Source organism: Homo sapiens, chromosome 12 (assembly GCF_000001405.40).
Source record: "Homo sapiens chromosome 12, GRCh38.p14 Primary Assembly".
In the NCBI taxonomy this organism is placed as follows: Eukaryota; Metazoa; Chordata; class Mammalia; order Primates; family Hominidae; genus Homo; species Homo sapiens.
In genome coordinates, this window is record NC_000012.12 from 13,728,758 (window position 1) to 13,754,995 (window position 26,238).

Sequence of the window (26,238 nt, forward strand, 5' to 3'; positions counted from 1 at the left end):
TGCACAGAGGGAGTATAATTTGCTATTGCCAGCATTACCAACAGTCACCTGTAAGTTGTTTAACTCTAGTCAGAATGCCCAAATAACCTACCAGTTTGATAATCACTTTCTTACTCATTTATTTCCTCTGGACTCTTCTTCACACAGAACTAATATTCACTTATTTTCTGTTCTTTATTAAATTATTCAAAAGAAACCCTTACCTCCCTCAGCACCCATCAGTAAAACTCTCTCCATACACAAGTATCTTCTCACACAAATCACACAACATAATACAATGGTATTCTCACTTACGGTATTGTGTCTCCATCTGAGAAAGAGATGAAGTCAGAGACAGAGTTAAAGTCTAAGAGGGATGTTTTATTTTTCTGTTTTTTTCTTACTTAGCACTAGCTATCCTGTGCTTTAAACAAAGAAAACAAAATATGCTAACAATAACTTAACATTTATTCCCAGCATGGGAGTGGCGGGGAGGAGGTTAATGTAGATAAGTCCTTGTGTACCGCACTATCAATCATAACTCTTTATCACAAATAATGCACTGCCATTCCCACAGCTGCACCCAGCTGTTTGGGTCATCTTTAGTCATGTCCGAACTCATTCTCAGAGTCCTATCTTCCTTCTGTCTCTCCCGTTTTTATGTAGCTCTCTGTCTGTCTTAGCTTTTGTATGATGAAGATTTTCAAGGCCAGGTTAAGTCTTGGGCTGGGTGTAGCCTGTTCATGGAGAGACAGTCTTGGAGGCGGGTGGAAGGAAGAGTCATTAGGGAGAAAGCTTGGGGAAGATGGAGGCAGAGAATGGAGCCAAATGAATCACCAGAGGAAAGAGAATCACTGGAGAAGTGCAACAGAATATGTAGGAAAGACTGTCTCCCAGATATCTTGCTCATTCGAGAACTTCCAGAAAAGAAATAGCTGAAAGAGATGGAGAATGGGTTTGAGGAAAGTCATACTCTGTTCTGTGAAGGATTCATTTTGCTGCCGAAAGGAAATAACTACAGGAGAAGAGAGAGACAGAAAGAAACCAGGAGTAGGGTGGGCGAGACAAAGAGGAAGCCATATGGGGAGGGGGGTGGGAGGATAAGGGTGAGGAGGAGAGAACATGGCATGCAGTGGGAACACTGTTGGAAACATAAGAACCGCCCCCAGAAACAAAATGCCAGCATCTCTGGGCAAAAAATCTAAATTGTCAGCACATGTATCTTTGCTCTGAGAAATATACACCTATTTTTTTTTTTTTTTTTAATTTCAGGATGATTCCCCATTCCAACATCAGTAAAACACTTCAGACTGAGAGACTCAGATAATTTCCTTCCTCCTATCGTGAAGCATCCCCAGGCCACTTCCTCACTGTTCCTCATAAAGGTGCCATCCCCAGGCTGGGGTCCCTTGGCAGGGAAAATTCAGGAACAAGGAATTGCTCAGATTTCATATAGATTTATGTCTTATAAAACTATAATGGAAGAAATCCATTCGTCTTCAAAAAATGAGAAAAAGAAAATACAATTTTTAATGATTACACTTTCCAAATACAATGTTTTATTCAATTATCAATAATTAATGTCAATATGAGCAGGGATAGCCCAATAAAACAAGCAAAATTAGATACTAATAACCAAACAAGCTGACTGTGTTTTGGTACTCTTTGTTCCAGGCCCCCTGCTAAGCACTTTGTATACATTCTTATTTAACGAGCACAAATACAGTACAAAGCCTTTAGTGTTGCCTCCGTTTTTATAGATGAAGAAGCAAGCCCAGACAGGTTAGGAACCTGGCCATGGTCATTCAGCTAACAAGTATACGGGCCAGGATGTTGAGAGACCCCTGGCATCTAATCATGTGTCAAGGGCCCCAAATCTCATTGTAGGCGATAGTGAGTGTTAAGTTTCTTCCCCACCAAATTTTTCCTACACCTCGTAATAGGGGGAAAATGGTTTGAATCTTTCCCTTCCCTCAAATTTCTTCCTTATGCTGTTTATAAAATGATCAAACATTAGGCAACTGAGCAGAATAATTAAAAAACTAAATAATTAATCCCTGATTAATGGTAGTTAAGTGTACAAAAAAAGGGAAATAAAAGGTAAGGTTGGCCCACAAATGCCTGCCCTCTCTACCACATTTGACATGACTAAACCCCTTTCCTTTCTTAAAATGGTTATTTCTTTTGGCTTTAATAACACGTGCACCTATACAGCTGACCACCACAATCCTCCTTCCCTGTCTCCACCAGGCCTGTGTCCTTCACTGAACACTGTGGCTCCTCCTGCCCTGGAACTATAGCTGATGTTCAAGGCTCAGTCCATAGCTCACTTTTTTCTAGATACTCTTCTCCTGAGACAACTCAGCTTTTCTCAGCTGGGCCACTGACAGTTGTATCCACTCTATGCTGATAAATTTTAAATCTGTAATTCCACGTTCCAGACTGCATAGCTGTAGGCACTACAAGACATCCTCACTAATGTGTCCAGCCCTCAGTTCAGAATTTGATGCAGCTTCTGTGAAAAGCAAGTTCCCACTCCAACTTCTCAGTTTCCACCAATCTATCATCATCCCTTCAATCTTAAAATCCAAAAGCCATCACACCTGTAATCCCAGCACTTTGGGAGGCTGAGACGGGTGGATCATAAGGTCAGGAGATCAAGACCATCATGGCTAACACGGTGAAACCCCGTGTCCACTAAAAATACAAAAAAAATTAGCTGGGCGTGGTGGTGGGCACCTGTAGTCCCAGCTACTTGGGAGGCTGAGGCAGGAGAATGGCATGAACTCGGGAGGTGGAGCTTGCAGTGAGCCGAGATTGCACCACTGCACTCCAGCCTTGGTGACAGAGTGAGACTCCATCTCAAACAAACAAACAAACAAGCAAAAAACAAAAGAAACCAAAAGCCCAGCTTTGACCATTTTGTCCCCTGTATTAGCTCTACAGAGGACATTACTGGATCCTAAAGAAGTGTCCTTCAAAATTATCTTGCAATCCCAATGGCCACCAAAATTCTGGCCCTCATCACCTCACATCTGGGGAATTTGAAAAAGGCCTGACTTGCCTCCCCATCTTGATTTACTCTTTCCCCATTCTCTCATATAGTAATAATGAGATTAATTTTCTTAAAATAACCATTTATCATAACCATTTCATCAAGTGTTTTTTATGATTACCTTCCAGAGTAAAGTTAAATGACATTAATCTACCTTTCAGGGTTCTCCATGACCTATTGGTTAATAGTAACACTCATTCAGCCATGGGTAGAGATTCAAGAACTAACTAGGCTGTTTCATAGAGAAAGGATTTAAAACAAAAATACACTAATGGTGCCTAGTTGAACTCATTTACAGAATGAGAGCATATAAGAGCTAAAATTTAATGTAATGCAACCCTTTACTATTGCATGTTCATTACCACACTTTTTTTTTTTTTGGATGAGAAAACAGAGCTGGAGAAAATAAATGACTTAATTAAGATCACATATTTCCATGCCAACTCCCAATATGGTACCTTTCTGATGATAGCTTGTTGCCTTTCAAAAGAACAACTCTGTTCCACTTGTAAACACCACATTTATCTCCCATGACTTGTTCACAATTCCATTCAGGTCAAGTTGATTCCAATATAACCCTCACATAAACATTCAGTGTCAAGTCCAAATCTTTGTTCATGCTATTATTCCCATTTGAAGAAACTCCTCCTTCCCTCGGGCCTCTGTATTCTACGTTCTTTGAAATCCAGGTCAAGTGTCACTCCAACCCCTCCAAGATGTATCAAGGCTGTAACTTCAGCCGACCTAGACAATATCCCTCTACTATAGCATTTGAATTGTACTATACCAATGTGAGACATGTAATCATATTATTTCATGTTTACTCAACATTTTTGTGTATGGGGACTTCACTTCTTGACTAAACTCAACTTCTTAAGTGAGCTGGATCATGTCTTTTCTATTGTGTTATCCTTCACAGTGAGTATAGCTCTTTGCAAAGTAGGTACTTTACCGTTTGTTGAAAATATAAAGAATCTAAAAATAGAATCTGAAACAAAATCTTCAATAGGTAATCCAAGAGCCCAGAGAAAATCAAGTCCATAGACAAATCAAGCTTAATTTCACAATTAGCTTAAGTTAATTCACTCATTTGACAAGTATATAATGAGTGCCTGCACTGAGCTCATTAAAGTGCTAAGCATTAAACTGCAATGGTGAGTGAAACAGACACATCCCTGCCAACGTGGAGCTAACAGTCTAGTTAGAGGAACACACACATATATTAAAAGTTTAACCAGGACTCTAGAGAACATGAAAAGAAGTGAACAGATTTGGGATACATGATTAAAGGAAAGGAGTGAGGGCCAGGAAAGAATAAAAAATAACTTGTGAATTTCTGGTACGTGCAACAGGAAGGATAACCATGCCATTCCCCTGAGTTGGAGAAAACCAGTGGAGGACAAGGTTTATGGGGGTATATCAGGAAAACTCAACCTTGGGCATGCTGAACAATTCCATTAGCAGAACCTATTAGGTAAAAGAAGTTGACCCAAAATGGTTTCAAGTTTTTTTTTTTTTTTGACCTTTACCCTATTCATTGTCATAAACACCCTATACTTCCCCAAAAGTAAAAGCTCTACCAAGTAGGCCTGAGAAGAGGAAAGCAGAATCAAGGACTCAGACAGCCCAGAATTGGGTAATTAAACTAACTGGGTAGGTTAGGGTTCACTGAGGCAAGGAGAATATAAAATAAATCTTTTCAATCAAAGAAAATAAAATCTGGCCTATTTATTTCTCTTTATCAAGTGAATCAAAAGCTTGGCTAAATGAAAACCTAAAACCAATCTAAAAGAGGATGGCTCCTGGTGTTGTATACATCCATGCAAGAGGTAGGCTTGCGTAGAGGCTCTTAATCTTCACTCCCCCTCTGAGACATTGTTGGCTGCTGTATAATATTGTGGTATAAATGAGGCCAGCGTTCTGGATTAAAATCTCTTCAAGCCTCTTCATTGATCACAGGGTTGGAAAGAAACATAGAAGTTCAATACCTCATATAATCAAAAAATCAAAAAACTTTGGAATCAGAAGGAACGTAGGGCTCACGTCTTCTAAATTCTTTCTTTCCAAGTAAGCATCTCTTGTAAGACATTATTTTACAGAGAAGAAAACCAATCAAAGTCTGAAAAGGTAAAATGACTTGCCTGCCTAAGGTAACACAGCAAATTAGTGACAAAGCTGGGAAAAGAACCATGCTCTCTTGCTTCTTGCCACTATACCATACAGTCTGGAGGGAAAAGAGAAGGGTCTGCCTAGAGAACAGTTCCTTTCGGAAAGTAATTTGAGATCAAGTTGATGATATCTAGGGATGATAATTTCCATTCTAAGTTTCAATTTGCTAAATGAAGCCCCCATAGGTACTTAATCACATGAGTAAAATGACCGAAATGATACTTGAAAAATACAAAATTCATAGTAGATGATTTTGTGATATTCAAGATATGGGAAATAGAGCAGCTTGTTATAGAAATCTAGGCACAAGCTAATGAGGATAGTGACTCTGCAGGTGGCAAGAAAGGATGACTTAACTTAGGGGCACTGTGCAGGGTGATGGGCGTCTGACTGATGCAGATATAAAAGGAATAAAGAGCAGTGAGGAATCCCTTCCAAGTACGTTACTGATTATAAAGCCCGAGACCATGGGAACGCTTTATGTGCACATAGCAAATGCTGAAAACTAGTTCAAAGCCTAACTGCTTCTGCCAATGAATCCAAAGAGTCATTTTCACACATGAAGATGGCATATTTAATCTTTAAAAATAATAATCAGGTTTTGTACTCCACGTGCACAAACCCCACCTTTTATTTCTTTATGGATTCATTCACATTTTCATTCAATAGAAAATGTTTGTGTCTACTGTGCCATGAATCCTAGGGTGGATACCATAATGAATTTTTAATGTGAACTGTTTGCACATCTATGTGCTATGCCATAGGTATGAACAAAGGGCTATGGGAGCACAAAGAGAGGAATGACTAATTCTGCCTGGAATCGTCAGAGAAGGCTTCAGAGAGGAGGCAACACTTGAGTCAGATCTTAAAGGACACCTATGTCCTTCCAGGGAAATTGAAAGAGAGGAGCATCACAAGGAACAGCCTATGCAAATGCATGAAGGGGTAAAAGACTGCCATACTAAGAGAGTGGCCAGTAATGTTATTTGATGTTGTGAGATCACAAGCAGTGTATGTTGGCATAAGGTGGGGAGTTGGAGGAGAGGGTAGTTAAATAAGATAAGCCCAATTATGAAGGTTAAGGCCGGATATTCAAAGGTCTTTTATGGCTTGCCAAGAAATGTGGACCACATCCAGTGGATAAAATAAGTCATCAGAGATTTGTGAGGAAATTAGGTTTCTGCTCTAGATATCCAATTCTTTATTATTTGCAGCACACAGAAATCTTATTTGAGCCAATAAAACATGGTTACAACTTCTTTCTCATACCCAACTTGATTTGAGAAAGACTACTATAGACACTTTGAAGTCTTCAATGATAATGTTTCCATCTAAAAAAGTGCAGACATGAAGGTGATAGGTTTTTTATCATCCAATGCGATGACTAGACATCAGCTTCCTGGAAGATGCTTGTTGGGGTCTTTGTCATGCCTTTGAAATTGATGTCTGGTCAAGCCTTGGGTCTCATTCCTTTGTGAAGGAAAGCATACTGTATTTGAGAAATTTTAAGCATATACTCCTACAAGGAGTCAACCTCCTTTTCCCTGAATTAAATTCATAAAAGCAGGGTTTTCATTGTCTCATGGCATAATGCTGCTATGTTAAGGCAGACTGCTCTCCTGTCATGATGCTGCTGCTTTTTCAGCAGAATCTCAATAGTATCAGAATGGGCCAATGCAATGCATGCTGGCCCAACAGGGCTCTGCTCAGGGGACTAAGCACCTGGGCATTACAGGATCACGCCCTAATCTTATTTATTTCTGAAATCCCTCCTTCTCATCAGATATATCCTGTTCCTTTATGTCTCCTGTCAATTTCTTATAGACATATTTCCCTGCTGCTTACCAATAACCAGAATGACTGATACGACAGCTGGGACAACCGAGTGTGGAGAAGTAGGATCCTTTCCCAGGGTTCGGAAGGAATGGAAGACAGGATTTTTTTTTTTGGAAAAAAATAACCTCAATCTGAAGCACGTGTCACTGCCAGGGCTGACAGACATAGCATGTGTGTCCTTTACACGGGATTCAGAAGATTTCCAAGGCTGAATTGAATGCTGGGCTTGCTTGCTTTTCCCACTTCTCACTTTTACCTTTGCAATAGAAATAGAAAAAGAAACATTTCTCAGTTTCCTTGACACTGAGAAACATGAACTATCATCTCCCATAGAAAAGCGGGGGGGGGGGGGGGTTGGCGGGAATAAACAGGTGGCCACTGAACTCCTGGATGTACCCTCAGCTCCTCTGCTCCTCCAGGACAGCATATGGCATTTCTAGGTCACCCTTAAAGTATGGCAGCCAGTGCAGTCAGGCACTCTGGGCAGATTAACTATGGTGCCTCTTCCTCTCCCTTTCTGGTTCTCAAGACAACACCAAATAGCCAGGATGAAATGAGGTTGACATCACTTCAGGCAAGATGGAAACAATGACAACCAAGGAAAGGAAACCCCTGTCAAGTGCAAGGAACATTAATAATGGACACAGACTCTTGCCCACTAAAATGTCCAGGTCTTAAATTGTTTGAGGATGCAATGTAGTAGCTACATCTCATTTCACCCATCCTTAACCTCAAATGCAGAACTCAGTATTGCTTTGTGTGTCGGTGATATGAAATCCAGAAAAACGTCTATTTACTTTCAAATAAAAAAAAAGCCAGCTAAACACATAATCTCACTTACACTATCAGTCATTGTTCATATGGAAAACAAGGATTTAGCTGCCTACGTAAGATATTTGCAATCAAACCTTGAGAAGCCAGGTCAATATTAGAACATGCAATATATGGCCGGGCCAATCATGCCTGTAATCCCAGCACTTTGGGAGGCCAAGGCGGGTGGATCACCTGAGGTCAGGAGTTCAAGACCATCCTGGCTAACATGGTGAAACCCCATTTCTACTAAAAATGCAAAAAATTAGCCGGGCGTGGTGGTGCGTGCCTGTAGCGCCTATAATCCCAGCTACTTGGGAGGCTGAGGCAGGAGAATAGCTTGGACCTGGGAGGCAGAGGTTACAATGAGCAGAGATTGCACCATTGCACTCCAGCTTGGGCAACAAGAGAGAAACTCCATCTCAAAAAAAAAAAAAAAAGAAGAAGAAAAAGAACATGCAACATACAATATAATAAATTCCTTGTCAAGCCCAAAAGAGGAACATGCATTATGTGGCAATTAATAAATGCTTCTTAATAGTTATTAGTTCTTCCCTCATATTACACTTATGGGGAAGAGACTCCAGAAAGCTCATATAATATCTTTTTTTTTTCTTTTTTTTGAGATGGAGTCTCTCTCTATTGCCCAGGCTGGAGTGCAGTGGCGCTATCTCGGCTCACTGCAAGCTCCACCTCCCAGGTTCACACCATTCTCCTGCCTCAGCCTCCTGAGTAGCTGGGACTACAGGCACCTGACACCACCCCTGGCTAATTTTTTGTATTTTTAGTAGAGACAGGGTTTCACTGTGTTAGCCAGGATGGCCTCAATCTCCTGACCTTGTGATCTGCCTGCCTCAGCCTCCCAAAATGCTGGGATTACAGGCTTGAACCACTGTGTCCGGCTGAAAGTTCATATAATATCTTAAATGTGAAATCTGAAGTTTGGCGAACAGGCACTCTAGATTGATTTCTTCCTGCTCATTCCACAAAACTCAAGTCCGATGACCTTAAGGACGTGATACAAAATGGTGTCTGTTCATCCAGGCACCTTTGTGATAAATGCTAGAGAGATAGGTGGATGAGTGGAAGAAAGGGATTGAAGCCAATGATAAAAATTACCTAATAATCTCCTACTTGTTAAGTGTACCTGGAGGTTCTGCCATGGTTCTTTTCTCAGAAATCATAAAGCACTTTAACAATAGTAATAAGCATTTCTTTCTCCTCTTCTTCTTATTCCTTTAGACAAACGTAAAGTTTCCAAGTGTTTAATCAGATAGATTACATTACCCTACCCATAATTCTGAAAAATTATGTTCTTTCTTAATACAGTTTCAAAGCTATACCTTGGCCTTGCTTGTCCACAGTAGACATTGCCAAGATTGGGCTCGGTCAGAACCACAAAAATGCCACACATTACACATCCACCTACAAACCCTTTCCATCTCAACTGGTTCCCCTGAAGGAGGACTCTCCCAGCCTCCAGGAGAAACACTGTAAGATAAAGACAACCCACCATTTCTTTTCTTACCTTGGCACTTACCCTGTGTGTCTTATTCTAAACACTGCTTTTCCTTTTATCTGCAGTACTTCAGAAAGCCATTTCATTAAATATAATAACAGTGTAGTAATACAAAGAACATCACTTTCTAGTGCTAATAACTTTCATTTTTAAAACCACTTGTGTACTCCAAAATTTAGCAAAGCATCAATTTCTCATCAAGGCCAGCCGACACATCAAATTTGAAACTTCAAAGTTCTGTTTCTTTTGGGTTTATAATCTATGTACAGAGGAATTGAAATGCTGTTTAAAGTCAAATTTGTTTTGATGCTCATGTTGCCAGTTTTACTGATGAAAACTCATCCCTCTGCATAAAATAGACTCATGAAGTACCAGCAACAGGAACAGAAACCAAATTAGGAAATCATGACCACCTGCAAGAGGATCACCATGATGAAATGTTCATATCCTGTACCCTTTCCAAATTTTGAAGTTCATAGCACCAGTGGAAATCACAATTTTCAGACTAGTCAGGAAAGAATGAAAGGAAGGAATTCTTTCAAGAGCACCAAGTTCAAATGCATGTGAATGCTATCATTGCATTTTACCCTATTCTGATAACCGAGGTAAAAAAAAAATGACAGGAGACTGGAGAACAGTGATTTACAACTCCTGGCTGCCCTTAGGAATCAACCTGGATGCTTTTAATACACGTCTGTTCCCGGGCCCTTACCCTCTTCCAGTGCAGCTACATCAGAATGTGTGCTGGGTGGGGCCTTGGGGTCTGTATACAGTTTCTTAAAGCTTCTCAGGAAATTTTAACATGCAGTCATGACTGAGAAGCACTGACACAAGGAACTCAAAACACAGAAAAATGAAAACATGGTGAAGACAGCACGGGAGGAAGTCAGCACATCAATACATCCCTGAGGCTGTTGAGTCAGTATCAGTTGATACACTTTAGAAGACTCTTGTATCTGAAAAAGAAAAATGTGGCTAGGTGTGGTGGCTCACGCCTGTAATCCCAGCACTTTGGGAGGCCAAGACAGGCAGATCACCTGAGGTCAGGAGTTCGAGACCAGCCTAACCAACATGGAAAAACCCTGTCTCTACTAAAAATACAAAATTAGTCGGGCATGGTGGTGCATGCTACCCAGCTACTTGGGAGGCTGAGGCAGGAGAATCGCTGAACCTAGGAGGCGGAGGTTGTGGTGAGCTGAGATTGCACCATTGCACTCCAGCCTGGGCAACAAGAGTGAAACTCCGTCTCAAAAAAAAAAAAAAAAAAAAAAAAAAAAGAAGAAAAGGAAAAAAAAAGCTAACTTCTGATGATCCTAACCAACCTATTTTACTGGGATTACTTTATTCAACATTACTGCCTCTACCACATAGCTTCCCTGCCACTGCTCTCTACTGTTCACCAAATGTTTGGGGTAATGCTGGTCTCTCCTGGCCAGAGAGATGGTGAATACCTGGGCTGTTCCGCACACTTCTGAGCACTCAGTAGGTACTCCCCGGTGTAATACTTGTGGCTGATGAGAAAGATTCTGAAAAAAAATAGCTGATTGCATGGAGAATGGTTCTAAACACACAAGTGTCCAACTTGGCTAAGGTGGTTAATTTTGGAACTGGGCTGAATTTGGAACTGGGCTGGGGAAGGAAGCGCATCCCTAAGGATTGAGCCACTAGAGGCCGCTCTGAGCCAGATTCTCACTAAATCATGCTATGAAGAGGAATCACATCAAAGGGAAAAGGAACGCTGCTGAGTAGCACCGGGCGTCATGGCAACACCATGGTTCCTATTTTTAAACTTAGTGAGTGAGCCCACAAAGTGTGGGTGTATGCACGTGGGGGAAGGGGACTCTGGTCTATTCCTAAAGAATATTCTTTCATGAAGTTTTGAGTTTGCAGGTGGCCAATAAACTGAGACAATGAGATTAGAGAATCAAACTAGAATCAGCTATATTGGAATGGTTCCTTTCTCCTGAACTCCACTCTCTTAGTCTCTATCAGAAAGGATCCTCCATGGCCTTGGATCAGAGGTACCAGGAAATTCGTGATGGTTTTCACTAACATTCTGAAATTCTTCGTTCCTGAAGCTCATTCTGCTAGTCTTTTAGGCAATTCACTTTATATTTCAAGAAAAATAAGTCTAAACAGCAAACTAAAAGCATCTGTGGACACTCCACTCCTTGTGAAGACAATCAGATGAATGCTATGTATTGTCCGTATTCCCGGCATCCGGCACAGGGTTCAGTACATACAGAATAGGGGGTCCACATTCCTACTGGATGTGTCACTCAGTGAATTAAGAATGAATGTAATTTTGTGAAGTGCAGAAAAGTGGGCCCCACATGTCCCGTTTCTTTCATTTCTAATAGCATTTTCTTTTTTTTTTTTTTTAACTTTTCTCCAATCTCCAGCTGAATACAAGGCTTAAACAAATCCAAATTTATCTGACCTGTCAAAAATGAATAGTGGTACTGGAGGACATTTGTAAATCATGGCAGAGGCCAAGGTCTTGTTTTGTTCTATTGCATGTCCCTGACAGTATTTTCAATGCATCTGTAATCTCCCTGAACCTTGGCAGGTTGTAGACCAGAAAGTCTCCACCCGCTTCAGTTCCAAGGATTTTTCAGGTATGCAAAGACTACAAGTTGTTGTTTTTTCCTCTATGGGTTAAAGGATTTGGGAATAGGATAAGAAAAAATAATCCTCCTTCCCATTAGGAAAAGGGAGGTATCAGCAAGATCAGAGCAAGACCAGCAAGTAGAGATGGGCACACTTCAGGACAGAGAGTGAGATGAGCAGGTTCAGTGTGGGAAGTCTTTACCATGTGTGTCCTGGATGCCACTCCCAGGCTGATTCTAGATGTGTCATGGTCTAGTCTTTAGGGCAAGAAATAGCAGAGAATCCAAGAAAGTAAACTATTTATTTATTTTATTTTATTTTATTGCGATGGAGTCTCACTCTGTGAGTGCAGTGGTGTGATCTCAGCTCACTGCAACCTCCACCTCCCGGGTTCAAGCAATTCTCTGCCTCAGCCTCCCAAGTAGCTGGGATTACAGGCATCCGCCACCACGCCCGGCTAATTTTTTTGTATTTTTAGTAGAGACAGGGTTTCACTATCTTGCCCAGGCTGTTCTTGAACTCCTGACCTCATGATCCACCCACCTTGGCCTTCCAAAGTGCTGGGATTACAGGCGTGAGCCACCGCGCCCAGACAGGAAACTCTTTATTACCAAACCACCCTGTCCCACAGGTTAATGATATGTTTATATACATGTGAGTCATTCCTAATTCACTCAACCTCTTTAGCAAAGGACATAGAAAGATGGATAACCTGGGGCAAAGTACGCCTGGAATTCATAAAAATTTGAGTTTGAAACACAAAGTAAGCAAAAGTCTTAATCTTTCTGGATCTCAGGGGGTTTGGGGTTTTTTGTTGTTGCTTTCGTTTTATTTTTTTGAGACAGGGTCTTGCTCTTTCACCCAGGCTGGAGTGCAGTGGCATGATCATGGCTCACTGCAGCCTCTATCTTCCTGGGCCCAAGTGATTCTCACCTAAGCTTCCCAGGTTGCTGGGACTACAGGTGCATGCCACCATGCCTGGCTAATTTAATATTTCTGTATTTTATAAAGACGGGGTTTTTGCCATGTTGCCCAAGCTGGTCTCAAGTGATCTACCTGCCTCAGCCTCCCAAAGTGCTGAAATTACAGGTGTGAGCCACCTCACTCAGGCAATCTCAGTTTATCTAAAAATTGGAGGCAATCATATCCCTGTACAATACTTTTAAGCTTAAATTATGCTATATAAAGCCCTTGGCACATAGTATTCACTCAATAATCTTTTTTAAAAATAAATTTTCTAAATTGCTGAAGCTTAGTATTTTAAAGTACAGGCTTTTTCTTGATTATAGGAAGCATTTTAATGGAAAATTTCAGAAAGGCATTACAGAGTTCTCTGACTTTTTATACCTAAGATAATCGATATAATTTAAGCTCTTATTGATGACTTAACAATGACTATGCTTTTTTGCTATACAGGGATTTTTATGCAGGGTATATGCTTTCTGGGGCGTAGATGACATTTCTCCCCAAATGGTGTTATACAACTCTGCTTTTCAAGGTTTTCTGCTGGGTTTTTCTAATATCTTCCACTCTTTTCCATTCTGTTATTTATTAATGCTGTTGGTTTGCCTATCTGATCCTCATCATCATGTCTGTTATACCTAAGCTATTGTTATCTAGGAAATCATATAAACAAATATCTCAAAGTTGTCTACCAAAGATATGGCCTTGGCCCTCTCTCACTAGTTAACAGAACTTTGTTTTTTTGTTTTTGAGACAGAGTCTCGCCCTGTTGCCGAGGCTGGAGTACAGTGGCATGATCTCGGCTCACTGAAACCTCCACCTCCCAGGTTCAAGTGATTCTCTTACCCCAGCCTCTCAAGTAGCTAGGATTACAGATGTACACCACCACACCTGGTTAATTTTTGTATTTTTAGTAGAGATGGAGTTTCACCATGTTGGCCAGGCTGGTCTCAACCCCCTGACCTCCGGTAATCTGCCTGCCTCGGCCTCCCAAAGTGCTGGGATTATAGGCATGAGCCACTGTGCCCGGCTTAGAACTTTGATTTTTAACTGGGCACATTACTGCCCAGGTTAAAAACTAAACTAAGCTATATTTCCCAATTTTGCTTGTTGCTAGTGTGGCCATTGACTGATTTCCAACCAGCAGACTATAAGCAAAGTGTGGAACTTCAGGGGAATTTCCTAAACAGGGAAATGATTTACCTTCCTTCCTTTCTAACTTCAATCTGCTGCTTGAAACTGGAGTTCCAGCAGCCATCTTAGGCATGGGGATGAAGGATATACCCAGTGGATGAAAGAGTGGAAAGCTAGCAGGCATCTGAGTCCTGATGACATGCAGCTGTCATCCCAGCTCTGGACAGACCACCTAACTATGCTCACATATCTCATTTAAACTGGGTTACTGGGACTCCACACCATAGATAACCCAACTGCCCACAAGCTTCTTAGAAGTATGTGTAAAATTAGAGTAAACGTGCTTTGAGCGACACTCTGTATGACAAGAAACAGCAGTCATTTTAGGGCAAGAGTTTTGTGTCAGGGATTTTAGCTCAGAGCCCTTTTCTGCTTTCTTCATGACTGTTGGTTATGTTCTAGATACATCAGGTTGTTGAATATGTGACCTCTTGTCCTTTAGGTAAAAAAGCCAAGTCTCCATGTGAACACATGTGAGCACGTGTGACAGAAGTGAGGACAATGACCCCGTGCAGCCTGTGGAGTCCACTATTTTGAGTCATAGTCTCTAATATGCACACACATACACACACACACCTTGTCCTCTATAGTCAATAATGAGGGAAATTTGACACATTATTAAGATCTGTGTAATAGTGAACTGTAATATAATAATGCTCTATTGTGCTGTTTTGCCTAAACAAAAGTGCCTGAAAGATTTTTTTTCAAGCAGGGGAGGAAGAAAGTCAATGGGAGTGTCTGGAAATACCTCTGAGAAAACAAAAAGGAAGCAAGTATGTGAGGTTTCTCTGTTGAAGTCCGCAGCCAATCCTTGCAGTGAATAAAAGAAGCCTTCACATGTTTGTTATAATGATTTAGTGAGACGATATACAAGAAGATTATCTGTATGAAAATCCTCACTTTAATCATCATCATTATTAGCCATGATGATGAACAACGAAATTTTTGATAATTGGGTTTTTTGTCTAACACTAAATGTATTTTGACACCTACCTCCATCTGGACCCCATCTATAATCTCTTTTGGAAAATTGTGAAAAGGACCACTTACAATGAATACCATATTGTCACAGGGTGGTTTCCATGGCTATTCCTGTTGCTTGTCAGGGGAGAACTTAACTTTAGAAAAAGAAGATTCATTTATAGGCTCATCAACAATTTATAAAACCACTTGACTACTAAGTTTCCCTCCTTCGCCCAAACAATAAATGTGCTAGGGATATTTAGCGACCATCCTTACAGCCGTCAAGACTTTAACAATGGAATCAGATTGGAAGGAAATATTTACTTGATATTCATCAGAGCTAATTCCAGGCAAGCCATTTTTTAAGAATTCCTCCCAACTTCTATCCCATATTCAACCTTTCTCATGTAATCATCTAAATAGTCTCAGCAATAGAAAGCATTAGAGAAATGTAACATATAAAAGTGTTTTATCCAGTTTTCTTAATTCTCTCTTCACTTGACAAATGCAAATATACATAAATAGGTGCTGTCTGGATGAGGAATACATGCACACATGAATATGAGTGTGTGCGTGCAAGAATTCCACAGGCGGTCATTTATGAACATAGAAAGGTAAAGGCAAGAAAGGTTTTAAAAGCTTTAAATGAAAGCTGGCTAAAGAAGAGAGGGGCAGCAAAAGATCAATGAACAAAACACCCAATAAAGAAAGAGACAGAAAAGAATAAAGAAAGAAAGAGGGTGGGGTGTGGAGCAGTAATGAATGAGGGAAAGAAAAGGCCTGGGCATTGAGGGAAGCTGTAGGCAGCCCCCGGCCGGCTGCTGCTGCTGGAAGCTGGACAAGAGGGAACAGATTTCAGCAGCGGGAAGCCCTAATCTGTCAGCAGCAGTTCCTTCATGTGTGACCAGCCAGCTCAGCTTGGAGACTGGTGCCAGTCTGGGCGAGCTAACCCCACCATGTCCTCCCGGAAGAGGACGCGCCACCAAAAATTTCTGAAAGCCGAGGGAAGGTTCTCTTGCTAGCTCCTGCCACATATCTTCCTTGGCTTCTCCCGTGCCCTATCTACAGTGCTGTTCAGATCCCTCAGTAGTCATCCTAAATGCCCTGCTTCTTCCAAATCCTTATCGGCCACATCAGATCCTGGAGAATTTTCTCCAGGACATGACCACCTATGCATCCCTGACAGCACCATTTGAGAGGAAACGAAGAGAAAGACTCAAACCATTATCTATTTAAATTGTGCAAGATCTCATGTAGATATAAAAGCCACACAACCATCTCTGCTCTCGGGAAGCTCATGTTAGTTAAGTTGACCTTGCACAGCTGTGGTCCAGCCCTCACTCAGGCTTCCAGTCCATGTCTGTAACCAGAAATGACAGCACTCCAGCTTTCTGGCAACTCATCCCCATCCTTACCCCCACCCAGGCAGCCTTTATCCTCTGGTGGGAAGAGAGAGCAGATGGAGAAACGACTCCCACTCAATTCCTAAATAATACCAGCTTCAATTCCCATTAACTGTGAATTTGCATCCTTGTCTAGGTAAGAACCAAGGGAGCAAGAGCCTTGGGGACGCTGGCAGGCCAGGGCAAAGGTTAACAGCAAAGCCCTGGCTGCCTGCCAGCCTGCCCTTCTGAGGACATGGCCAAGCAGTGGAGAGGTAGCATGCTCTAGCAAAGAGCACCGCTCCTGCCATCAGGACACCTGGCTTCTGTGCCTGCCCAGCCTCCAACAGAGGAGTGACCGCTCTGAGACTGTGTTTTCACATATGTAAATTCCATCCTACCATCTATTCATTAAGAAGACATGCATTGAAAGGGTTGGATTAGATGAGCACTAAAGACTCTTCCAGCTCTAATGCTTTGATGCTAAGGAAAGCTGAGCTTTCTTTAAAGCTTCCTTAATGTGCTGCACAGTGAGGGGCTGAAATCCAGGACCCCTAAGGCAGATCAGGTCAGTCTGGCATCACACAGCCTGAGCTGGGGATCCCTGGGCCTCGGGTTCCTTAAAAACATATAAAATGAGAATAATGATTCCTGTCTTTTCATTCCTGCTTTTTAATCTGACAAATATTTATCAATTGCCTACTTATCAGGCACTGTGCTGAGAATACAAAGGTTAAAAAAAACACCTTGCTCTCATTGAGCATGAATTCTGCTGGGAGGAGGGAGACAAAAAAAATTTTTTAAATATAATTTATACAGTATATCAGATATGTGCTATGTCAAAAAATAAAGCAGGAGAAAGGGACAGAGAGTGCTTGGGAGGGTGGGGAATACAAGTTGCCCTTTTAAACAGAGTGATCAGGGAATGTCTCTCGAGGACATTTGCATCAGGATTTTTGCAGGGATCAAATTAGGTAACTGCACAGCGCTGGGGATGCAGTAAGTACTCAAAAAGGCAACTAACGATGGAGTTCATAACTTTCGCAGCCTGGCTGACAACTGGGGCTGATTTAAATATATACCTATGACCCGCTTTTTAACCCATGCCATTGTCACCAACCCACGTCCTTTCTGAGGCAGAATCTGTTTTCAGAATGAGGCTTGTCTGCTTTCTCCACTGAGAGCCATTAACCTTCTCGGGTTTGCTTCTGCCTTCAAGACCATCCTATTCCTTCCCATAGACCATATTCCGTCTGTATCTTCTTCCCCTGCACAGATGTGCATTCTCCACCCCACTCACTGTCCTCAGTTAAATGTAACTCTTTCCCCACTCACTCACCCTCTGTATCCCCTGCCCTCTCCTCCAAATCACACTAATTTTTTAAAGGAGTGATACAGTTTGGATGTTTGTCCCCCCCAAATCCCATGTTGAAATGTGACCCCAATGCTGGAGATTGAGCCAGTGGGAGGTGTTTGTGTCACAGACATGGATCTCTCATGAATGGCTTAATGCCCTGCCCATGGTCATGAGTGAGTTCTCACTCTATTAATTCATGTGAGAGCTGGTTATTTGAAGAGACTGGCACTTCCTCCCCTCACTCTCCTGCTTTCTCTCTCACCATGTGACATGCCGGCCCCCCTCCACCTTCCACCATGAGTGGAAGTTTCCTGAGGCCCTGACCAGAAGCAGATGCTGGCACCGTGCCTCTTGTACAGCCTGCAAAACTGTGAGCCAAATAAACTTCTTTATAAATTACCCGGCCTTTAGTATTCCTTTAGAGCAATGCAGAATGGACTATAGGAATCCATTTTGAACTTTATCGAAATGCAAAAAGGAGGAAGGCGAAGAGAAAAATAAAAGGGAGGAGAAAGAGGAAGAATAACAAAAAAGAGACAAAGAAGAGAAACACCACCTATATTATGGGTGAGTTTTAAATCTTAGAAGTCAGCCGCAGAATTAGTGATTAAGGAAAGAATACTGTAGGGGGTCTCAGTGTTAAAAATACTTGAAAATGCCTTTCACAAGTTTGACTTCAGGGAGAAGAAGCAACAATCATTTACTGAAATGACCATCTATATGTCTGATATGAGGAATGTGAAAGACTAGAGGAAAACAGAAGAGTTTGAATCGTCCTCCCATTCAATGATTGTTCTGTACACAGCTAACACATGCATTGTTATGCCTGAACTACAATAAGCATTGAATGTATCTTTTAGGTTATTAGGTTCTTCGATTATTTTTCCCAACTTATATATCCTTTTACACTACTGAGCAGATAAAGTCATTCCCTCCCTCTATATACAGGTGTGTGTCATTTTACTAAACATTTTGCATTAAAATGTGCATTTTTGTGCATATACATAAAAATGTAGCTTTCCTTAGACTCTGGTGCACTTCTTTAATAAGATGAAAAGCCACTGTGCCAGCTATACCGCTTATTACTATGCATTCATGTAACCTTTTGGTTGTTTCACTGTAAATTAGATTAAGTGAAGTGAACCTATAACATGCGTTTGCCTTACCATAAATCTGCCTGTGCTGGCACTCATCGAACATTTAATAACAAATAAAAGATGGGTAATGACCAAGCAGCTCTTGCCCATAATGCCTAAAAACTAATTGACTCAATTCCTCATTTATTTTTTTAACCTTTCAGCACTTTCCAGGCCAAGAGTCAAATGAGGATCCCATGAGAACAATCTGGCTCATACATTGGTTCCAAAGATGGGGAATTTGCCTCAAGGTTGTAGGAAGATTGAGCTTATCACAGCTCTTTCATTAAGAACCTAAGAAAGTACTTTTTTTCACATCAGTTATTCAAAGTCACTCTTCCCCATCCCTCAAAGGCTGGGCCAGGACGATCCAGCCTTTTAAGATGGCAACTTTCACTAAGAAAGAAGAATTTAGGGAAGGAGGAAACAAATGTTGAGTAGAAAAACTAAAGACACTGGGGAAAAGTAATTAGGCAAGATTCATAAGAGGTTTGCTATATTAAGATCCATCTATCTCAAATAGCATCCGTTCTTTCTACAAGTTCCAAAAGTAGCTCTGTATGAAGAGAAGCAGCGGGCTCTCAGGACAGAAAGAGAGCACAGAGGTATGTGGCAGGTGTACCATCACGTGAGTGACAGAAACAGACCATCAGAGATTACAGAGTACATGGAGAAGGAAAATAACCACTAACTGCTCCTTGGAGAAATGACAAATGAAAAATGTAGACGGGTGCCTCCTAATAACTCACAATTTCTTCCCAGCTCAGGGGAATGAAGATGGGTTTGGAAAACTTACCTAATCATTTTCTAAACATTTTCAGATCATCTGGTACCAAAACGTTTTTAGACTTTTCTCAGGAACCAAGAAAATTCTTCCCTTAGAGAATATATAGCATAAGAAATTCTCCAGCCCTTTCAATCAAATAAAGTTATCAGTTGGAATAAAACTCTCTTAGCATGTCTTGGGCTATAGTATAGGGCATTGTACTATATTTATTAATAAGGCACAAATGAATGCTATGAAGTTCCAACAGAAAATTAATTTTTATATGTATTCAAAGTAGGGTTGCCAGATTTAGCAAATAAAACTACAAGAGCCCCATGAAATCTGAATTTCAGATAAATAACAAATATTCATTTGGTATAAATATGTCCCATGCAATATTTAGTATTGACTTGTGCTAACGAAATTATTCATTGTTTATCTGAAATTCAAATTTAACTTGGCTTAAGTATTTTTCTTGCAACCCTGGCAAAATGCCTCCTCCAGGCAACCCAGAATCTATCTGGAGATAATCACTAAGTCTATAACAGGCCAAGCTTCAAGGAGTTAAGAAGTTATCAGTGAGGAATTTGGATTAACACCTGATAAGTAATGTTCATTTGATAGTGAATTGAAATAGTGCATTTAAGGATCCTCCCTGAGAAGGATTTTATGCCATAAAAATATATTCTTCCTTTGGTAACTAACAAGTGAATCACTTCAAATACATGTCTCTCTTTGGGATTCAGGTATATCATATAACCTCTTCTCTCCATCCCCTAAGTGTAGACTTAGGAACTTTCCCCACGTGGAAAGAAAGCTGTAATCTGGATAGGTGTGCATGAGACCTGTACCTCCCCCTACAATGCTTCTAGCAGGGAAAGGGGCCTATGAATGCTACTGCCTTTTCAGAAGGTGAGAGGAGAAGCCACTTTCCTAACCCTACATCCCTAGTGTCATGCTGGGGCTGGGCCACTCCCAGAAATCTCCCAGAGAGCCTTCCTCCCTACTGCAGTTGCTGAGAGGAGAATAGCAGGCCAAAGGAAAAGTCATCCTTATAAAACAACCAGCCATTTGCAGCAATTTTATTTGCAAAGATTTCCTGCTGTGGCTAAATGGTGTGGCTGCTTGGTTTGTTATTTAAAAGAGTGACCCTAGTGAGACCAGAGCTCTGAAGGGGTGGAGAGTCTGATTTCAGAGCAGGGTAAGTAGGAGGAGCTTGAACTGAATGTGCCTAATTGATTCCACTGCTGCTTTTGAGCGTGCTGTGCCTGGTGATAAAACTGCAGACTTGGGGCTAACTCTATAAACCCTGTTAGTCAACCCCAATCCTTTCTGGATCCTGATAGGAAACTATACTAAAATATTCTCAAGACAGGCAGGGATTACATTCAAGAACCAGAAGAAGATGTATTTGGATGGAGAGGAAGGAAAAGAAAGACAATGGAGATAAGGGAAGAATGGAGGTGTATGGACAAGGGAGACATCCAAGAGATGTCCAGCGGGCAGGCAGGTGCAGAACCCAAGTAAAGGCAGGGAACTGGGGCAGTTTGCAGAGGAAATGCTTTAGTGGAGAAGTAGGTAGGTAAATCTGAAGACACTTCTTAAGCCGTACATTTGGGAAATCAAGTGAAGCTGGACTCCCTCTCTCTCTCAGTCTCTCTGCTCTACACTGGTGCCTGAGGAATTGATGAATAATAATCCTTATTCCCTGTAGGACTGCTACACTGGAAAAGACGGATGTGGGCCTCTAGGACTGAGTAGGGCCACCTTCCTGGGTGGCCACACGGGAGCATCTCAGGCCTCAGAGAGATGGCAACAAAGGTTAAAACCAATTGCGATTTCAGAGATATGTGGTTAGAAACCAGGCTTCAGAGATGACATTTACATTGTAATGTAACATAAGCCAAGCAGGAAATAATAATATCTGCAGATCATTGTTTACCCAGCAGAAGTTTTAAGTTAAAAGTAGGCATTCCTGGGCCATATTTATGAGCTTTAAGGTAACATTCACTTGATTTCTTCGTGTTGTTGGGCAGATGTTTTAGTCTCAGTAGTCCTTCACTGTTAGCTTTGGTTGTAATTAGCAAACATTTGGGAAAATAATCTGAATCAGATTTGAATTTAACACGAAAAGCAGTGGGAGGAAAACCAAAGCTACAGAACTGAATCAACAGTACATTTTTCAAGGGAATCTTTATTATCTTGCAAGAACAGAGCAGAACGGGAAGGCTCCTGCAGAGCAGGTGTGCACTGAGTCTTGGAGGGCGTCATTCACTTCCGTGTGCCATGCACTGTGCAGGAAATGGGGTCAGAGAAATGAGTGCTATGGGAGGGTCACTACTCTCACAGAGCTCACAGGGAAGGGAGATAATACAGCATGCAATTGCCACAGTTTGAAGAGTGGCTTTATCTGAAAAGTACAAGATGTAGTGAAGGCAAATAATACAGTAATCTTATTCTGAAGCTCAGGAAAGACTTCCCAGCAGAAGTAATGCCAAGACTGAAGCCTGAGGAATCTGACAAATGAAGAGCATGAGGCAGGTAAGGGAACATCAGCACCTGTGTTTGGTGGGAAGGGGCACGCTGGAGAGTAAGTTTAAGACAGAGAGAGGAAAGAGCTGGAAGCAAGAGAGAGCATGGTGTTTTTGAAGAACTAAGCTCAGTGTTGCAGGAAGGTAGCGTGCAAGGCAGAGAAAAGCATGAGAGAATTTTGGAAAGACAGGCAGGGCCCATGAGGCTGAAGTCTTTATAAACCATATTAAGGAGAATGGACCTCATTAAAGGAGCAATGAAAAGCCTCTGAAAGGTATTAAGCAAGAGAATGATGAAATCACATTTTTAATTTTGATCACCCTGGCTGCAATGTAAATTGAAAAGCAGCAGAACTTGGAGGAGGAAGATCATGTAAGAAGCCCTGTAGTAATGCATGTGAGAAAAAATGGACTGGGATGTTGTAGGAGAGATGAAAACAAGAACGGCATTCCAGAGGTATGGGGAGACTAAAATCCGGGGCAAACAGTACGATTGACTATGAGGTGTCAGGGATGTGGAACCAAGGGCATCTAGGAAATTTTTATTTTAGGTAACTTTGTAATAGAATACATCATTGACAGGCAGTGCAGATTTGGCTAGGAGAGGGTGGGAGACTAGTGGGAGAAGAGATAGAAGTTGAGCTTTGGATACTGTGAGTTCGAAGTGCCCATGGAATCCAAAGAAACATATCTGGCCACAGCTAAGAATACAAATTTAGAGCTCAAGGGAGAGGTTGCAACCAGAGATGTCACTTTGGAAAATATACAGACATTAATTGTATCCTTGGGAATGGATGAGAAAGGAAGAGGGTCTAGAACCCCAAGAAGTGCCCATATTTAAGGGATGCATAAAACAGGAGTGTGCTAAGGAGCCCCAGATGGAACTGGAATAGAAGGAAACCAGAGAGGTAGAAGAAAAACCAAGACAATCTGTGCCAAGCAAGGGGCAATACCTAGGGATGATGGAAAGAGGAACCTCTAGAGAGTTGATGGTGGAAGAATATCAAGATTGGATCACAGATATAACTACTGTGAACCTGGTTTGAGTTTCAACCCTGAATTGAAGCTGTACTCTACAGACTGCAGTCCAGCTCCCTGCTAGAAGTTACCCACTCAACCTCCACTATATGTTTTTTAACATCCCAAGTACACCTTTTAATATTTTATTTATTAAGCTAGATAGTGAGTACCTGAGTATGCATTAAGTTTTTCTGAATACCTTTCTGTACATCTTAATACAATTAAAAATAATTTCAAAGGGATGTCCAACACATTGTTGAATGAAAGAAATCAAGCTATTGAACAGCAAGTATACTTATATTTCCATATATGTAACATTGTGTATTTATGTCCATATAAATGTACATGCATAGAGAGATATCTAGAAAGATGTTCACGAATTATTTCTACAATGATTATCTCCAATTAGTTGGATTTAAGATCACTTTTATTTCTAAAACACACTTCTTTATGTTCTATTTAGTTTGAATTTTTATAATGTACTTACATAGAAGTTTTATACAAATAATAAAACCACGAAAGTATAGTATAGAATCTTCTACCCCACAGAGTCATTTAATACCCCACGGAGGATGCACTGCAGTCACGGCTGGGTTATGCAAGATGAGGGCTTGCCAAACAAACCAGACTAAGAGTAACTGTAAAAGCCACCTCTATAGCAGCATCCTCACCCTTAAAGGCAGAGGCTGGAGGAGGAAGAGACAAAAACCAAGCCTGTTTCTTTAAAGAAAGAATATCCTTCATACGACTACAGATCCGCATAACCTGTTCTTCAATCTTACTACAATACGGCAACATTCCAAAGGTAAGCGGACTGGTCCTCCCTTATTTCTAAGTCTCCTGCATCTTTCTTTGCGATCAAGTAGTACTTACAGATCAGAGAGGCCTAGGTTCAACTCCAAACTGACCACTCACTTGCAACATGACATTGTATAATTTACACCTCCAAGCCTATTCTTTCGTATTGTAAAATAGAAACAATTGTTAAAACCTGACTTATAGAGTTATTTTGAGGATCAAATGAAACCAAACATGCAAAACCCTTAGAGTAACATCTAACACATAATAAGTGCTCAATAAATGAAAGTTGTTTTGGCAAGGTTGGATCCAAAACACTCCCCCAATCATGACCAATTGCCATGCCCAAGGCCAGGCTTCAACCTGCTACCGTCTTGAACTGTTCTTCCTGCAGTTTCTGAACTTCCAACCCCAGTCTTTGAAGCTCCCCTCTCATCTCCACCATCAATGTGCCCTCTGTTCCACACTCACCTATTTAGCATATTGGACTGGTAGATTCTCTTCTCGTGGGTGTTGTAACAACTGCTTTTGGGCTCAGGGATGAAGCTGTGCTCAGACAGCATGTCAGAAGCAGCAGTGGTGATTATGGCAATTCCATCTCTCACTCTGGCGGGGAGGCCATAGTCCCATTCATCATATGATACAGAGATGAGCCCAGTGGGGAACTCCGCAGGCACTGTGTCTGTATCCCCTGCCACCAGACTGGGCACGATCCACGTGTAGCCATAGCCAGTCAGCCCTACTGAGTTGGCCACTTCAAAGATGTAGGTGGCTTCTTCCTTGGTACAGTAAAGAAGAATGATGGGGCTTTGAAGTTTCTTGAGCTGATTCTGGATCTTAGAATCTCCATCGTCCAGGGACATGTCCAGTAGGAGGACCTCCTCTAGCTCCCAGCCCACAAAGCTATTCTCAATGGTGCTGCGGATCTTGTTTACAAAGTCCTGGTAGCCAGGGAAATAGGTGGTGACGATAGAAAAGATGTACCAGTCATATTCTTCCATGATGTTGAGCATTACGGAAGCTTGCTGTTCAATTGATGGGCCAAACTGGAAGAACATGGAGGATTCATCCTAGAAAAAGAACAGGACAAAAAAAGGAAGAGAGAAAAAAATCAAACCAAAGATGGTAATGGAGATTTTGAACCAAGTGGGTACAAAGATTTGTGTTCATTACTTATTTTTATATAATGCCTTTACAAGTTTGTATTTACAATAAATATTTTTAAATATTTAAATTGCAGATATTTGTAATACTTTTCTTCCTAAAATTGTCTCCTAGACTTTACAGAAAATCAACCTATGTCTATACTTGCCTTGTCTGAAATCCTTGGGGTTTCTGCCAGAGCCTAGGGAAGCTCCCTAAAATCAAATATGTTAATATTTCTAAAGCAAAACATATGAAGAGTCACATAGTGTAGAATAAAGGCTCTAAACGGCCTCATGTCAGTTCAGGTCAGGTTTTGTTGTCAAATGAGCTATACAAACACAAATGCACATGCCCACACAGACATACACACACATACATACTTTCCATTTTTCAAGGCTTTTGGATTTCTTGCTTGTGAAAGTGTATCACTCAGTCACAGAGTGCATAATCCAAAAATGTCATTGAGCTACACATAAACCTATCTACGGAGGTGAGATAAGCTCAGTGGTCCAGAAGGTGAATGGTACTCAGATACAGATATCAGGGAGAAGTATACGTAGTATGAAATTGGATCACTATGTGTTCTATAAACATATAAATGTTAAATTAATATCACATTTAGTTTGCTCTCTAACTTCTACTCTGATAATAATATATGCAGAACAGAATAAGGCTCAAACAGTATGTCTAAGCTGCAAGTTAAAATTATTGCCATTTGAACTCATATCTGATTAAGCTTTACTTCAGACATATAGAAGATATGCTCTTTCTCTGACCTACAGGACACCACAGGTCTTGGTTTGACCTGGGCATTGCACACACCCTCCCGTGTCAATTTTGAGCGTCTTCTGATTTCTCCTTCCTTTCCAGGGAGAAGCCATTTTAAATGTCTCCCATTTTAAGCTGTGTTTCACCTGCTGTTCTGAGATATCAAGTCCTGCATTTTCTCTCTACCTTTAGCTAGATGAGTCCGAAAACACAAAATGAACACCCTCTCAGTCTTG

At 41.2% G+C, this 26,238-nt stretch overlaps 1 protein-coding gene across 5 annotated transcripts in view, besides 3 other annotated features; it reads right to left on the reverse strand.

Annotated features, from left to right (window-relative positions):
• The window catches only part of GRIN2B (glutamate ionotropic receptor NMDA type subunit 2B), a 444,798-nt gene that overhangs the window by 191,421 nt on the left and 227,139 nt on the right, over positions 1-26,238 (reverse strand). For 3 of the 5 annotated variants that reach the window (NM_001413993.1, NM_001413994.1, NM_001413995.1), the window contains one exon: positions 23,700-25,158. In NM_001413993.1, the coding sequence (NP_001400922.1) occupies positions 24,556-25,158 (603 nt within the window). In that variant the 3' untranslated portion in view covers positions 23,700-24,555. Of the gene's footprint in view, positions 1-23,699; positions 25,159-26,238 lie in introns of those variants that run through there. The other 2 variants (NM_001413992.1, NM_000834.5) reach the window with 1 other exon arrangement.
• Positions 16,344-17,272: an enhancer, noted in NCBI's record as "OCT4-NANOG-H3K4me1 hESC enhancer chr12:13898035-13898963 (GRCh37/hg19 assembly coordinates)". NCBI's record gives its function as "activates a minimal SCP1, AML or CMV promoter by ChIP-STARR-seq in naive H9 embryonic stem cells {active_cell/tissue: H9 hESC(naive)}" and the evidence as "EXISTENCE:reporter gene assay evidence [ECO:0000049][PMID:30033119]".
• Positions 20,039-20,208: an enhancer, noted in NCBI's record as "experimental_26314 CRE fragment used in MPRA reporter constructs". NCBI's record gives its function as "activates a minimal promoter by MPRAs in K562 erythroleukemia cells, with activity observed for both the introgressed and non-introgressed 12:13901815 variant alleles {active_cell/tissue: K562}" and the evidence as "EXISTENCE:reporter gene assay evidence [ECO:0000049][PMID:34662402]".
• Positions 20,412-21,147: an enhancer, noted in NCBI's record as "OCT4-NANOG-H3K4me1 hESC enhancer chr12:13902103-13902838 (GRCh37/hg19 assembly coordinates)". NCBI's record gives its function as "activates a minimal SCP1, AML or CMV promoter by ChIP-STARR-seq in naive H9 embryonic stem cells {active_cell/tissue: H9 hESC(naive)}" and the evidence as "EXISTENCE:reporter gene assay evidence [ECO:0000049][PMID:30033119]".